This window comes from Homo sapiens, chromosome 2 (genome assembly GCF_000001405.40).
Source record: "Homo sapiens chromosome 2, GRCh38.p14 Primary Assembly".
Classification (NCBI taxonomy): Eukaryota; Metazoa; Chordata; class Mammalia; order Primates; family Hominidae; genus Homo; species Homo sapiens.
In genome coordinates, this window is record NC_000002.12 from 61,338,905 (window position 1) to 61,354,427 (window position 15,523).

General features: G+C 37.0%; 1 protein-coding gene across 1 annotated transcript in view; it reads right to left on the reverse strand.

The window, feature by feature from the left end:
- The window catches only part of USP34 (ubiquitin specific peptidase 34), a 283,625-nt gene that overhangs the window by 151,442 nt on the left and 116,660 nt on the right, over positions 1–15,523 (reverse strand). Inside the window, exons 11-18 of the mRNA NM_014709.4 lie at positions 11,664–11,789; positions 11,356–11,485; positions 10,346–10,381; positions 9,852–9,982; positions 8,966–9,576; positions 4,911–5,125; positions 662–777; positions 447–574 (exon numbers count right to left, since the gene is read on the reverse strand). Of these exons, the coding sequence (NP_055524.3) occupies positions 447–574; positions 662–777; positions 4,911–5,125; positions 8,966–9,576; positions 9,852–9,982; positions 10,346–10,381; positions 11,356–11,485; positions 11,664–11,789 (1,493 nt within the window). The remainder of the gene's footprint in view (positions 1–446; positions 575–661; positions 778–4,910; positions 5,126–8,965; positions 9,577–9,851; positions 9,983–10,345; positions 10,382–11,355; positions 11,486–11,663; positions 11,790–15,523) is intronic.

The following is a 15,523-nucleotide window of genomic DNA, read 5'->3' on the forward strand; positions in this document are numbered from 1 at the left end:
CAAATGCTGAGACATTAAAAGATACATCTAAATGGAAGAACAATACTAATATCAAAGTGTTTATGTTGTAGCTTAAGTAAAATTTCACTTAACTTATTTAGCATCCTTTATGAGACAGTTCAAGAACATTTAACTGCAATTTGAAAACAGAGTAATCACCAAGGTGTCCCCAGAATCAAAAAGATAGTATTGTTATTTTTTTGTTTCTGTTGGGTGGATCTAACAAAGAATGGTGAAAGGTGCTGAAAAGAGCAACACTGAGTGCTAAAATATGAACCATGTTAAGAAGAAACCTCTAAATTTCATATGAAAACTATAATTACTAAAAAACAGATTAATACAGGTATATGAAACAGTATAAAAACATCACACCTAGTCAACAAGAATGTCCCCCCACACCCAAATACTTTGACTACTGCATTAAAAATTTTTAAATTCCTCTTTACCTGTTGTTTCCCAAGTTTTCAAGGCAACCTTCAATGAATCTCATTCGAATTTGTCTATCTGTAAACCAACATACTAACGAACAAAGAAGTTTCTCTGCTTCATTTATTAATCCTTCAGAAAGATTAACCTATAAAAAATGTATATAAAATTACTATTTATCCTAATTGCATCTTGCTGAAATTTCTTACTCTTCTGGTTCTATTAAATAACTTACTGCATCTTCATCTTGGACTATATCCCACAACAAAGTATTTCCTTTCTTGCAAACATTATCCAAATTAATGTCTGTAACAGCATTACTGTTGAATTGATGTTTATGAACTACAGGTCCTGAAGAGAAAAAAAAAAAAAAGACACACTATAGAGAAATGCAGCTGACTGATTATAGCATTCATATGGTTAGCAAATCCAAAGAAAAGTACACGATATTTTTCTCAGATCATAAAATAAAAACACATTAGCACAATATTTTGTTTTGTTTTGTTTTTGTTTTTTTTTTAAATAGAGACTGAGTCTCGCTATGTTGGCCAGGCTGGTCTTGAACTTGTGGCCTCCAGTAATCTCCTTCCTCAGCCTCCCTAAGTGTTGGGATTACAAGTGTAAGCCACTGCACCCAGCATGGCACAATACTTATGAGGAGAGAAGAATAGTGCCATTTAGATTTGATAAGGCTAAAGTGAAATCGTTTCCTTTCTACAGTCTCTTTGCTATCTATAGTGATTAATATTTTCACATCAAGAGAACTGTACATAAATACTTGAAACTAAGTGTGAATAAGACAACATATTTGAAATAATTATTTAAACAGACATACCTCTAAATGACCTATATAATCTTTTATAATCCCTATATTTAAAAAAAAACTTAACACTATTTTTATTGGAGATAATTTACCCTTAACATTCAAATTAAAAGACTCTTTTATAGAAATACTACATTTTGTTTAGACACTCACCAGTTATAGGACATTTGGATAGTTTCTAGTTTTACGCTATTATTAACAAAACTACCATAAACATCTGTGTAACAAGTTTTGCATCATTTCCTTTCCTTTCTCTTGGGTAAATACTAGGATTGACATCACTGAGTCATAAGGTATTATGTATGTTTAAAAGAAAACTGCTGAAAAGATTTCCAAAGAGGCTGTGCCCTTTTACATTCCCATCAGCAGTGTATGAGAGCATCAGTCCCTTTCTTCCATATTCTCCCTAACACCGTAGTACTGTCACTCTTAATTTCACATACCTATTTTTAATTTCACATACCTATTAAGGTATGTGGTAGAATCTCATTGAGGTTTTTAATTTCCATTTCCCTAATGACTAATGATGAGAATCTTTTCGTATGCTTATTAGCCATGTGTATACCTCTTTGGTGAAATAAGTAATTTGCCACTCTTTTAATTGGGTTGTCTTACTATTGAGTTATGAAATTATTTTATATTCCAAATACAATCCATTTCATAGATATATAATTTTCAAATATTTCTTCTAGTCTGTGGCTTGTCTTTTTTTTTTTTTTTTGGATGGGTGGGGGGACTGTTTTGGTATTTCGCTTTCATAATTTTATCGAAATACATATATAATCAAGATGGAGAACGTTTCTATCACCCTAGGAAGTTCCCTTGTGATCCTTTACAATCAGTCCCCACCCTCAAGCCCTAGGCAATGATTGAGGAGCTTTCTTTCCTTACAAATTACTTTTGACTGTTCTAGAACTGCACATAAGTAATACACAGTATGTACTTTCTTCTATTTCTAGCTTCTTTTGCTCAGAATGATGTTTTCAATATTCATCCATGATGTTGGATGTGTCTGTAGTTCTTTCCTTTCTACTGATGAGCAAAATTCCACTATGTGAATTTATCAGTTAATTCCAGTTGGAAGGCCTTCTGAATAAAGCAGCACACATGAACAAATCTTTTCACAGACATGTTTTCACTTCTCTTGAGTAAAAACCTAAGGCAAAAAAACTGCTGGGTCATATGGTAGGTATATATTTAACTTTGTGATAAAGCAGTTTGATACAGTTTGAATGTTTTGTCCCCTCCAAATCTCATGTTGAAATGTGACCTCCAGTGTTGGAGGTGAGTCTAGTAGAAGGCGTTTGGGTCAAGAGAGCAGATCCCTCATGAATGTCTTCATGCTGTCCTCACCATAGTGTGAATTCTTACATTGAGTTCAGATAAGATCTGGTTGTTTAGAAGAGAGTGACACCCCTCCAACCCCCCGTTTCCACTTCTGCCATGAGACCCCTGCTCCCCCTTCACATTCTACCATGATTGTAAGCTTCCTGTGGCCCTCACCAGAAGCAGATGCTGGCACTATGCTTCTTGCACAACCTGCACAACTGTGAGCCAAAATAAACCACTTTTGTTTATAAACTACCCAGACTCAGGTCTTTCTTTTTTTTTTTTTTTTTTTTTTTGAGATGCAGTCTCGCTGTGTTGCCCAGGCTGGAGTGGAGTGGTATGATCTTGGCTCACTGCAACCTCCCCGCCTCTCAGGTTCAAGTGATTCTCCTGCCTCAGCGTCCCGAGTAGCTGGGACGACAGGTGCCCGCCATCACACCCAGCTGATTTTTGTATTTTTAGTACCAACGGGGTTTCACCATGTTGGCCAGGCTGGCCTCGAGATGCTGACCTCAGATGATCCACCTGTCTCGGCCTCCCAAAGTTCTGGGATTACAGATGTGAGCCACCGCACCAGGCGATTTCTTTATAGCAACACAATAATGGACTAACACACAGTTCTCCAAAGTGATTATATTTTATGTTCAACAGCAAGTTATGACAGTTCCAGCTCCACATTCTAATGTCAATCCTTGATAGTATCAGTCCTTAATTTTACTCATTTCAATAGGTATGTAGTAGTGCCTCACTGTGGTTTTAACTTATATTTACTAGATGACAAGAGACACTGAGAGTGTACTTACTGGCCGTTTCCTTTTTTTTTTTTTTTTTTTTTTAAGACGGAGTCTCACTCTGTCATCCAGGCTGGAGTGCAGTGGCGTGATCTCGGCTCACTGCAACCTCCACAGCCTGGGTTCAAGCGATTCTCCTGCTTCAGCCTCCCAAGTAGCTGGGACTACAGGTGAGCACCACCATACGCAGCTAATTTATTTTTTTTTTTTGTATTTTTAGTAGGGATGGGGTTTCACCACGTTGGCTAGACTAGTCTCGAACTCCTGACCTCAAGTGATCTGCCCACCTCAGCCTTCCAAAGTGCTGGGATTATAGGTGTGAGCCACCATGCCCAGCCCTTATTGACCATTTCTATGTATCATCTTTTATGTAGTATCTGATCAACACTTTTGCCCATTTTTAAACTGACTGTCTTACTCTGTTGGAGGAGGTCTTCTAGTACTAAAAACATTGTAAAACAAGGTAGATTTGGAAAGCATTAACATATACTATCATTTTATTCTGTCTACAATGGGTTGTGAAAAGAAAACCATTTTGTTCAATTTCTAACTCCACGCAGTAAAAAATAGGTAAAATATTGATTAAAGGAAAATTTGAGAAAAGAATGGTAACAATTTACAAATATGGCATCACATTCAGTCAGATGACCTCAATCTAACCTATTCCTTTCTCAACAACCACAACAGCACAACAATAAAATAAGTCAAAGTAACTTAACCTAGACAGATCATGTACAAAAAACACATACAAATCAGTAAATTGTTGCCAAGGTCCACAAGTTGTGTTTCTAAGTGTGTTTATGGCCTCTTTGCATAAACGTAATCCATCCGGTTTACTTATAATGTACTGGCTATCCAAAACCCATTTACTAGGCCAGCATATGTTGATGATACCAACCAAACAAGAGGTTTAAGGCCTTTAAACTGCCAATTCTAAAACTGTTTTTCACTTTCTTATTTTTTCTTGCTTTACTCATTAATTCCCTACTACTCTTTACCTTCCTCCATCCTCCATTCTTTCAAGTCTGGTCATGTCCTATTACTTTAAGAGTGATTTAGACTTGAACAATCATTTCTCACACTCGCCCCTCCTTATTCCCTCCTACCCTTCCCTAACCCCAAGCAACCACTAACCTTCTGCCTGCAGATTTGCCTATTCTAGACATATCATATAAATGGAATCATACAATTTTATCTTTTGTGATTTCCTATACTTTTAGGTCCTAGGATTTCTGAGTATAAATTCTAATACAACCATATATTTTCTAAAATATAGAGCTTTAATTATTACATATTATTGCTATATATTTTCTTTCCCCGCTGAATATCTCAATAGAACTGCAGGACTTATTTATATTCATGATGGACTATTTATAATAATTTAATTCCCTTGGGGGAAAAAAAAAAACTACCATATGTAAGTTATTTTGACAAAAACATTTAAGTACCATAACCTTAACTATTGAGTCCTTTCAACAAAGTAAGATAAATTATTCCTGTTGTGAAGAAGGTAATATATTTTACTTACTGTAGAGTCTTACCTTGACTAAGATGTTCATGGTAAATGGAAGCTAAATTGGGAAGATGTTGTTGGAGGTGAGATGTCAGTTCCGCATGTGAATTAATCTGAACTAGCTCCTCTTCACATCCAGATTCTTCACCATCAAAATCAGCCATATTTTTTTCTGATTTTGCACTAACCTGGGAGCTACTACAACTGACATCATCTGCACTTAGCATATCATCAACCATATGCCTACAAAACAGAGAAAAGCACAAAGTTAGTAATTACGAATGTGAATCTAATTTGTGAACCACAAAAAATACCTCTCTTAAACTTACAAATACACTTAGAAACAAACCGACATCTGCTTATTAACAATATGGAATGTTGAGAGCTTTACGAAACTGAAAACTTCACACTGTCAGAATTATTAAATAATTTTACAATATACAGTCATATTACCAGGCCTATTAAGACACCTCATTAAAACAAATTCAAAGAACAATTTTAGGCAAGATCACTAATACTCACTGTTTACATATTATTTTATACTCAAAGTCTATAAAATGTGAAACCATAAAAAGTGTGGTTTTTTACAACTGTAGAATCAAACCAAAAAAACATTTCAATTTAAGGCTGCAGTCTTGATGGACTTAATATTAACTGGGGAACTTCTAACCAAACAAACCCAAATTAAGTATTCATTTCTAAAACACATTGTTACCGGACATAAAGACAAAATGATTTAAAAAATCGAAAAATAACATGAAGTTCAGGGTTGATTTAGAGACTCACAAGTAGTACCATTAATACACAGAATATGAAAAGAGCTAAAATGAAAAATTAAATCATTAGGTCTTGTGAGGTATGGAATGGGTATAGGTGTCAAAACTAAGATTTGCAGTGTACCAAACTGAATATATTGCACCTCAGTTTTTTAACTGCTTTGTCTTCATCATGAGCTGTGCTGGGGACAACTGTGAATGTTTGTATCTATAATGCAAGATAGTGAGCCAGTGGTTCCCAATCAGGGGTGAATTTAGGCCCCTGGGGGAAATCTGGAAATATCTAGAGATATTTTTGGTTGTCAAAACTGAGGAGATGCTAGTGGAATCTAGAGATAAGGCTCAGTATAGTGGCAAACATTCTGCAATGCACAGGGCAACATTAGCATTGCTATACATTCAAATAAAAAAAAAATGTTCTGGCCCAAGGCTGGGCATGGTGGCTCACACCTGTAATCCCAGCACTTTGGGAGGCCGAGGCAGGCGGATCATTTGAGGTCAGCAGCTCAAGACCAGCCTGGCCAACATGGTGAAACCCCGTCTCTACTAAAAATACAAAAATTAGCTGGGGCATGGTGGTGCATACCCATAATCACAGCTACTCGGGAGGCTGAGGCAGGAGAACCACTTGAACCCAAAAGGTGGAGGCTGCAGTGAGCCAGGATCGTGCCACTGCACTCCAGCCTGAACAACAGAGTGTGACTGTGTTTAAAAAAAAAAAAAAAATTGTAATTATCTGGCCCAAAATGCCAATCTTGAAAAACACTTCCTTAATCTCAGATGCATCAGTGCTAAGAATTAAAAAGCAAAGGAAATAAAGAAGTAATATGTATAGATATGTAGAGTTCACCCTAACAACTTAATTGCATTCTGGAAGATCTGGCAAATTGTCGAGTATAGCAAAACTCAATCTGATAAAGGGCATACCCATGATTCACCATAAACTCACATAGTATCACTCGTAACGACAATGATAAATATACAGCTAACACTTATCGAGCACTTATTGTGCACCAATCACATTAGTTAGCCCAGGAAATCCTCACAATAAAACCATGAGATAGATACTATTGTGCCCATTTTATTTTTAGAGACAGAGTCTCATTCTATTGCCCAGGCTGAAGTGTAGTGGTGCAATCACCACTCACTGCAGTCTTGATCTCCTGGACTCAAGCGATCCTTCCACCTCAGCCTCCCAATTATCTAGAACTACAGGTGTGTGATACCATGCCTGGCTAGTGTTTTTAATATTTTTGTAGAGACAGGGCCCCACTAAGTTGCTCAGGCTGATCTCAAGCTCCTGGCCTCAAACGATCCTCCTGCCTTAGCCTCCAAAGCACTAGGATTATTGTTCCCATTTTATAGATTGAAAAAATGAAGAAAAATTAATTATTTTGCCCATCATAATACCACCACTAAGTGACAGAATCACATTATTTGGTATATTTCACAGATAACCAAAAAGTTTTATGCTGGAGCTTACCCTTTTAAATACCCTAAAATTAGATGTGTAAAATTTCCCTTTCTTAATCACAATTTAGGAAAGTTTCCATAAGCACTCATATCTTTTTTAGGCATTTATTACAAGATGTTGAAAATCTAATCCTGTGTTATCCAATATAATACCAACTAGCCATATGTGACCATTACACACATAAAACATGGTAGGTCTAGGCTGGGTATAAGTAGCTTACGCCTGTAATCCCAGAGCTTTGGGAGGCTGCGGCAAAAGCACTGAGGTCTGGGGTTCAAGACCAGCCTGGGCAACATAGCAATACTCTGTCTCTATAAAAAAAAAAAAAAAAAATTAAGAATTAGCTAGGAGTGGCAACACACACCTTAAGTCTCAAGTGCTCAGAAAGCTGAGGCAGGAGGATTGCTTGAGCCCAAGAGTTTGAGACTACGGTGAGCTATGATCACATCACTGCACTACAGCCTAGGTGACAAAGTGAGACCCTATCTCTTAAAAAAAAAAAAAAAAAAAAAAAAAAGGCCAGGTGCAGTGGCTCACGCCTGCAATCCTAGCACTTTGGCAGGCCGAATCATAAGGTCAGGAGTTCAAGACCAGCCTGGCCAATATGGTGAAACCCCATCCTACTAAAAATACAAAAATTAGCCAGGCATGGGTGGGGGGTGGGGGGCACCTGTAGTCCCAGCTGCTCAGTAGGCTGAAGCAGAAGAATCGCTTGAACCTGGGAGACGGAGGTTGCAGTGAGCCAAGATTGTGCCACTGCACTCCAGCCTGGGTGACAGAGTGAGATTCCAACTCAAAAAAAAAAAAAAAAAAAAAAAAGGCCGGGCCTGGTGGCTCACACCTGTGATCCCAGCACTTTGGGAGGCCGAGGCGGGCAGATCATCTGAGGTCAGGAGTTCAAGATCAGCCTGGTCAACACGGTGAAACCCCATCTCTACTAAAAATACTAAAAAAGTAGCCAGGCATGGTGGTGGGTGCTTGTAATTCCAGCTACTCAGGAGGCTGAGGCACAAGAATTGTTTGAGCCTGGGAAGTGGAGGTTGCAGTGAGCCTAGATCGTGCCACTGCACTCCGGCCTGGGCAACAGAGCGAGACCCTGTCTCAAAGAAAAAAAGAAGAAGAAAACAAATAAATCAATAAATATTTTAAAGAATTAAAGGGTGGCTGGTCTAAATTGAAAAGTGCTATAAGTATAAAATATGCACTAAATATTGAAGACTTGGTAAGAAAAAAAGGAAGGAAATACCTTAGTAATTTTTATACTTATTACATGTGTAAATGGCATTGTGGATATTATTGGTTTAACATGATTAAAATTAACAACCTGGTTTTTTATTGTTGTTGTTCAACGTTTTGCTTTTGAGTCTCACTCTGTTGCCCAGGATGGAGTGCAGTGGTGTGATCTCAGCTCACTGCAACCTCCACCTCCCAGGTTCAAGTGATTCTCCTGCCTCAGCCTCCCAAGTAGCTGGGATTACAGGCGTGCACCACCATGCCCGGCTAATTTTTCTATTTTTAGTAGAGATGGGGTTTCACCATGTTGTTCAGGCTGGTCTCAAACTCCTGACCTCAAGTGATCCACCTGCCTCGGCCTCCCAAAGTGCTGGGATTATAGGTGTGAGCCACTGTGCATGGCCAACAACCTGCTTCATTTTGTGTTTTTAAATGTGCCCAATAGAAAACTTGAAATTATCTATTTGTAGCTTACATTTATAGTTTGCACTATACTACTAATGAATAGCACTAATACAGAATAAATTGCAAATTGAATATAGGATATAATACTTCCCTAAAGGAAATATGAACTGAATATTTATTTTGAAGTAGGCTTACCCATCGTGGTGGTGGTGATGGTGGTGGTGGTGGTGGTGATGCTGTGGACCAATAAATTGTCGACAATTAAATAATTCATTCCCAATAGTCTCCCCAAGGAAGTCCCCAGTTCGTGTGATACAAGACTCCTGAGACCCTTGTGCTATATGAGTAGCATTCATTTCCCCTGAAATATCATGTTCTGGGTCTTCAGAGTGTGAACAAGCATCCAGCATTCGCATTCGATTATCTACTGATGGCAATGATTCAGTGTTAAAAACCAGGTCCTTTCCTGTTCCGCTGCTTGTCCCATTTCTTTCTGACATGCCTTGGGAGTCCCCCAGGCAAATGCCTGCTTGACTCTCTAACTTTCTATTCCGAAGATCTGTACCACAACTGCTTTTGGGAGGATTATGACCATGATCATCGTCTTCATCTTCCTCTTTGAGGGCTTCAATATCTGCAATGTCTTCTGACTGTACCTCACTGCCAGGGCTCCCAGCTGACTGGCTTGCGTGGCTAGAATTAACCTCATTGCTAGATCCATCACTATGCCCACTACTGCTACCAGGACCACTGCTTCCATCTTCACCACTGTTGGCAGTTTCGTCAGAACTTCCCTGCATGGATTCCTGTATTTTGAAACAAATAGATTTAAATAAATATTTAAACCAGTAAGAAAAAAGGTAACCAACATTAATAAACTGTACTTTTTAAAAAGGCTGCCAGTCTTGTTATACTCCTTTGAACAATACAAAATGGAATTAAAAACTCAAAGGATGTCAAAAATATTACGTAAAGGAGAGGACAAGCCCAAACATGAATTATGTATATATACCCAATTCAAATGATAAACACGCCAGAAAGCCAAAAATGCCTATAAAAGAAGAAAAACCTATTTTCATACCTCTGTGTCTGAAAGTCGTTGTTGCACATGTTTGGTTCTATTAATAAGTTGCTCATCCATTTCAATGTCACTACCTCCACTTTGATGTGTATCGCTATTATCACTGCTTTGAGGACTAGCTGCAGGTGACCCTATATAAAATACATTTTTTGTTTTTACTTCTAATTTATATTAACATTGACTTAACAGAATGACATTATCATTTGATTCCTTGACCTAGTTACCAAAGCTTTATGCTAAGTAGCCAAAAATAAAATCTCTAAATATGTTAACATTTGCTCATGATTTCTAAAGAAGATGTAAGATTCAATTAAAAGTCAAGATGTTTAAGATTTTAAGAAAAATGGGTAACACGAATATGTTAAAGGTTTACATCTCCTCAAAATGAACTTTATGACTGATACAAATATATTATTATGTAAAATCAATGAACTCTAGAAAACCACTATAAAAAACTAAGTCATGTTGCCATGAATTTCTAAGGCTCAACTTACAAGGTGATGGAGCTGTTCTTCTAAGCTCTTCTTCCTCTGAAGGAAAAGGAAAAAACAGGAGAAAAACATTCTAAGTGACTCAGCTTCTTTGAGACAGCGTATCAGTTGTTCATATTACATAATCAACAAGATGTAAGTGGAGAAACCTGCAATAAGGTTAAGTCCCCACCACCTACAGTAGTTGTTGGGGGTGCCTGCACAGAAAAGCCTAAGAGAGGGGTAGTATATGTTGTCAGGAGACAAAAACTGAGTTCAACTAATGTTTCAGAAAGCCCTTGAAAGCTATGTATGTTAAAAAAAATACCCACTGGCCAGATGCAGTGGGTCACGCCTGTAACCCCAGCATTTTAGGAGGCCAAGGCGGATGGATGACAAGATCAGGAGATCGAGACCATCCTGGCTAACACGGTGAAACCCCGTCTCTACTAAAAATACAAAAAAATTAGCTGGGCGTGGTGGCGGGCACCTGTAGTCCCAGCTACTCGGGAGGCTGAGGCAGGAGAATGACGTGAACCCGGGAGACGCAGCTTGCATTGAGCCAAGATAGCACCACTGCACTCCAGCTTGGGTGACAGACCGAGGCTCCGTCTCAAAAAACAACAACAACAACAACAACAACAAAAAAACCCCACAAAGCACCTGACATGGCAGAAAACTTTGAAGCAGAAAACACAACAAGATAACTGAATCATTATGTTCTACTCTTAAAATTATTTCTGAAACAAAACTTGTTTGTTTACAAAATGAAATCTCCAAAGCTTTTGTTTAAAAAAAAAAGATAACCAAAGCTGAGAAAATCCAGTAACTACAAAGACTTCATCACTATCCTTCACTTAAAAGGTAAACCAAAACACGAACTAATCACAGTATTAATCCTTTTATATGCACTCTTCTACCCATCCCACACTTATTTTAAAATAAAGATTGAACTGAATGTATTAGCAGAAAATATTTCAAATCTGAGTGAGAAGCTCTCAACAATTTACTTCAAAATACATGACATTACTAACCTTTCTTATTTCCAATGGGAATATTAGTATTTAATAAAGATGCAAAAGAACTCTGTTTAGATAACTGAGCCTTAGCTGCTAGTGCGTTATTCCACAGTGCTTTAATTAACATGGATGCCAAGTACAGTGTCTAAAAAAAAGAGGGAGAGATTTCAGTTTGAGAATTCCAGGCAACACTAACAAATTTAATATCCTTTTTGTCAAACTGAAATGCCAAGACAATAAAATGAAAGTTAAATTATCTGAATCACAAGGAAATTTTCACTTCACGGGAAAAAAAAAAAACTATCATGTTTTGAATGTATTACCTGTTCAGTATGAACACTTGGCTCAAGAGCTGAGACCAGATTAAGTAGATGTCTAAGTGGTACGGGATCCAAATTCTTGATGAGTGAAGGAAATAAGTCATGTATATACCGACTACAATGTTTCAACTAGAAAATCAAGTTAGAGAGAATGGTCAAAAATAATTGCCCAATACATGTAGATTACCTGATATAAAAACAGTTTGAAAGTCAAAAAGTTGGCCAGTACACTAATATTTTTTAATATGACGGTAAAATGCTAATTATCTAAGATGATGAATGGCAGTGCATAAAACAGTAAAAACAAATTCACCTAAACAGAAATGAAACTTAACCAAACAAATGACAAGCTGAATTTCCTAATTATAAGAGGGAAGGCTGGGCGTGGTGGCTGATGCCTGTAATTCCAATACTTTGAGAGGCTGAGTTGGCAGCACAGCTTGAGCCCAGGAGTTTCAGATCAGTCTGGGCAACATAGTGAGACCTCATCTCTGTAAAAAATACATTTTAAAATTAGGTGGGTGCTGAGGTGCACACCTGTGGTCCCAGCTACATAGGCGGCTATGGTGGGAAGATCTCTTGATTCCAATGGAATTAATTTACATGTCATAATACAAAAATAAGTTAAATAGTAAATTAAAATACAAATAAGACAATAAATTACGCTTAGGAGAAAAAAGTAAATTATCACAGGTGTGCCAGATTTGTTATTAAATCTTTATAAAGTATTTATATAATGCTTTTATTTTACTGGAGTACACAACAGAAACCCTTATAAAGATCTATAAAATAATAAACCATGAGATACAAAGACTTCTTTGTTATAATAAACACAAACATGTAAATTCATGAGGGACAATATTTATGAAGATATAAACACTAAATATTATGTCATGTAAAATAAAAGTATTTTACAGCCATGAAGCTGCTAACTACTAAATCAAGATAGGGTAATAAACAGAAGATTAGACAAGTAATTCCCAATTTGAGGGCTGTCAAATGCAAAGTTTCCTACTTTTAATACATAAAAAAATCTATTAAAATATAGATTTTACTCAAAAATACTGATTTTTATATTTTGTAGGCATACACATATGAATTCTCTTCTGCTGCTTCTCTTTCAGGGTAAATATGCACAACCTAATACTGAAATATAAGGTGAAATACATGTAAGAAAACATAATACTGCAGGAATTCTTCTATCTTGGTGAGGCTTCTTATAAATTACACTATCTGCTTCTACTGCTATTTACTTTAACACCACTAAGTATCCATTTAAAAAACAATGGCAGTACTTCAATACTACAAACAGTATTTGATTTTAAGGACAAGTGAATACTCAGTAAGTTTACCACTTTTACAGGTCTTGACTAAGAATGTTAATTTAAATATAGTATTAAATAACATTACAGATTAAAATATGCAAGTTAAGTATCCCCTATCTGAAATGCTTGGAAGCAGAAGTGTTTCAGGTTTTGGATTTTTCCACACTTTGGAGTATCTGCATTATATACTTACCAGTTGAAGATCTCTAATTCAATAATCCAAAATCTTAAATGTTCCAATGAGTACTTCTTTGAGCACCATGTTGGCACTCAGATCTCAAACTTTGTAGCAGTTCAAATTTTAGAGTTTTGGATTAGGAATTCTCAATTTGTACTAACAGTTTTCTCTACTTTTTGCCAACAAGTAACTCTTACATGGTTTTTCTACTTAAAATATGATAAAAACACATATATACATGTTTATATATATAGTATATGTATATACTAAACTATACACTATATGTAATACATAATAAACTTCCAATTTTCTGCCAATTTAACCATTAATATAATGAAATTTCCATAATATACTTAATTTTGATAATTAAGTATATTATTGAAACCTTGTTGGGGTTTCTAGGGTATTAATCTGCCACTTGGTTATTTTTGTTTTGTTTTATACAGATGAAGTCTCATGATATTGCCCAGTCTAATTTTAAAACGCCTAAGCTCAAGTGATCCTCTTGCCTCAGCCTCGCAAAGTGCTGAAATTACAGGAATGAGCCACTGAGCTTATTTTTAAGTAACAAGACCCTTGAGAAAAAAAATCATAAAATCCTGTAACTGAGATTAAAAAAAAAAAAAACCCACTCTTTCAAATGTGTACATTATTTAATTCCACAGTACACAAAAAATATTATTAAGAATGCGTGGTGGTGGCAGCAGCAGAGGAGGAGGAAGAGGACAAAGAGGAGGAGGACAAGGAGGATGAAGAAACAAAGATGACGAAGAGGACAAAGACGATGAAAACAAAGACGATGAAGACGAAAAAGAAAAGGATATCAGGGAAGATGGGAGAACAGAAAACGCCAGGAATCCATTACTATACCAAGACAAAAAATGTACTAGCCGAATCAGATGTAAGTATCCTGAAACTCTAGAGTCAATCTGAACTTCTACACTTAACAATTTCAGCCTCCAATGCCATAGCTGCTACTGCTACCCATTTCTGACACGCACACTCCCAACCTGCCCATGCAATGACAGGCAGCTACGGAGACAACAATACAGGTTTCTGGTACAGCTTCTGGAGACAGGTGGGCAGTAAGGACCACGTCCCTGAACATCAAGATTCTCTGTTCCGACAGCTAGCTGATTGCTAATTCTGACTGGTGAGGTACAGGCACAGAGGCTGGCTGCCATTGTTTCAACACAAACCATCTGAAATGATTACTAGAGGTCTTAGAGTTGTACTTTTTTTTTGCGGAACAAAACAAAAAAGGAAAGAACAAAAAGTCCACAGAAAATATACCTGAAGTCCACCTGTTGCACTTCCTAGACGAATGTTTTTTTTTTTTTTTTTGAGACAGTCTTGCTCTGTCACCCAGGCTGGAGTGCAGTGGTGCGATCTCAGCTCACTGCCACGTGTGCCTCCCAGGTTCAAGTGATTCTCATGCCTCAGCCTCCCAAGTAGCTGGGACCACAGGTGTGTGCCACCACACCCAGCTAGTTTTGTTTTTGTTTTTGTTTTTTTTGTTTAGTTGGGTTTTTTTTGTATTTTTAGTGAAGACAGGGTTTCGCCATGTTGGCCAGGCTGGTCTTAAACTTCTGACCTCAAGTGATCCACCTGCCTCGGCCTCCCAAAGTGCTAGGATTACAGGTGTGACTCACCACTCAGCCACTAGACAAAGATTTTAAAAAACTTTATCTCAAAGATAGTAAGAGTAAAGACAGGAAAACAATGCATGAACAAAATGAGAATATCAGCAAAGGGACAGAAATTATAAAAAGGAACCAAAAAGAAATTATGGAAATGAAAGGTACAACAACTGAAATGAACAATACACTACACAAGGATTCAAAGGCAGCTCTGAGCAAGCGGAAAAAAGAATCAGCATACCCGTAAGTAGGACAACTGAAATTATCAAGTCTGAGGAAAAGAAGAAAAATGAATAGCCTAAGGGACCTGTGGGATACCATGAAGCAGAGCAACACATTCATTTTGGAAATCCCAGAATGCAAAGAAAAATGGAAAGACAGAATACTTAAATAACTAACTAAATAAATAACCAATTTCATGAAAGACATGAATCTACAAATCCAAGATGTTCAACAAACTCCAAGGAAGATACACTCAAAAAGACCCCTATCGATACACAATGCAATCAGAATGTAGGAAGCCAAAGACGAAAATCTCAAAAACCACAAGTAACTTGTCACATATAAGAGATCCTCGATAAGATTATCAGCGAATTTCTCATCCAAAACGTTAGAGGCCAGAAGGCAATGAGCTGATATATTCAAGGGGCTAAAAGAAAAATCTTGCAATAAGAATTCTAAATTCAGCAAAACTGTCCTTCAAAAATTAGGGTTGAAATT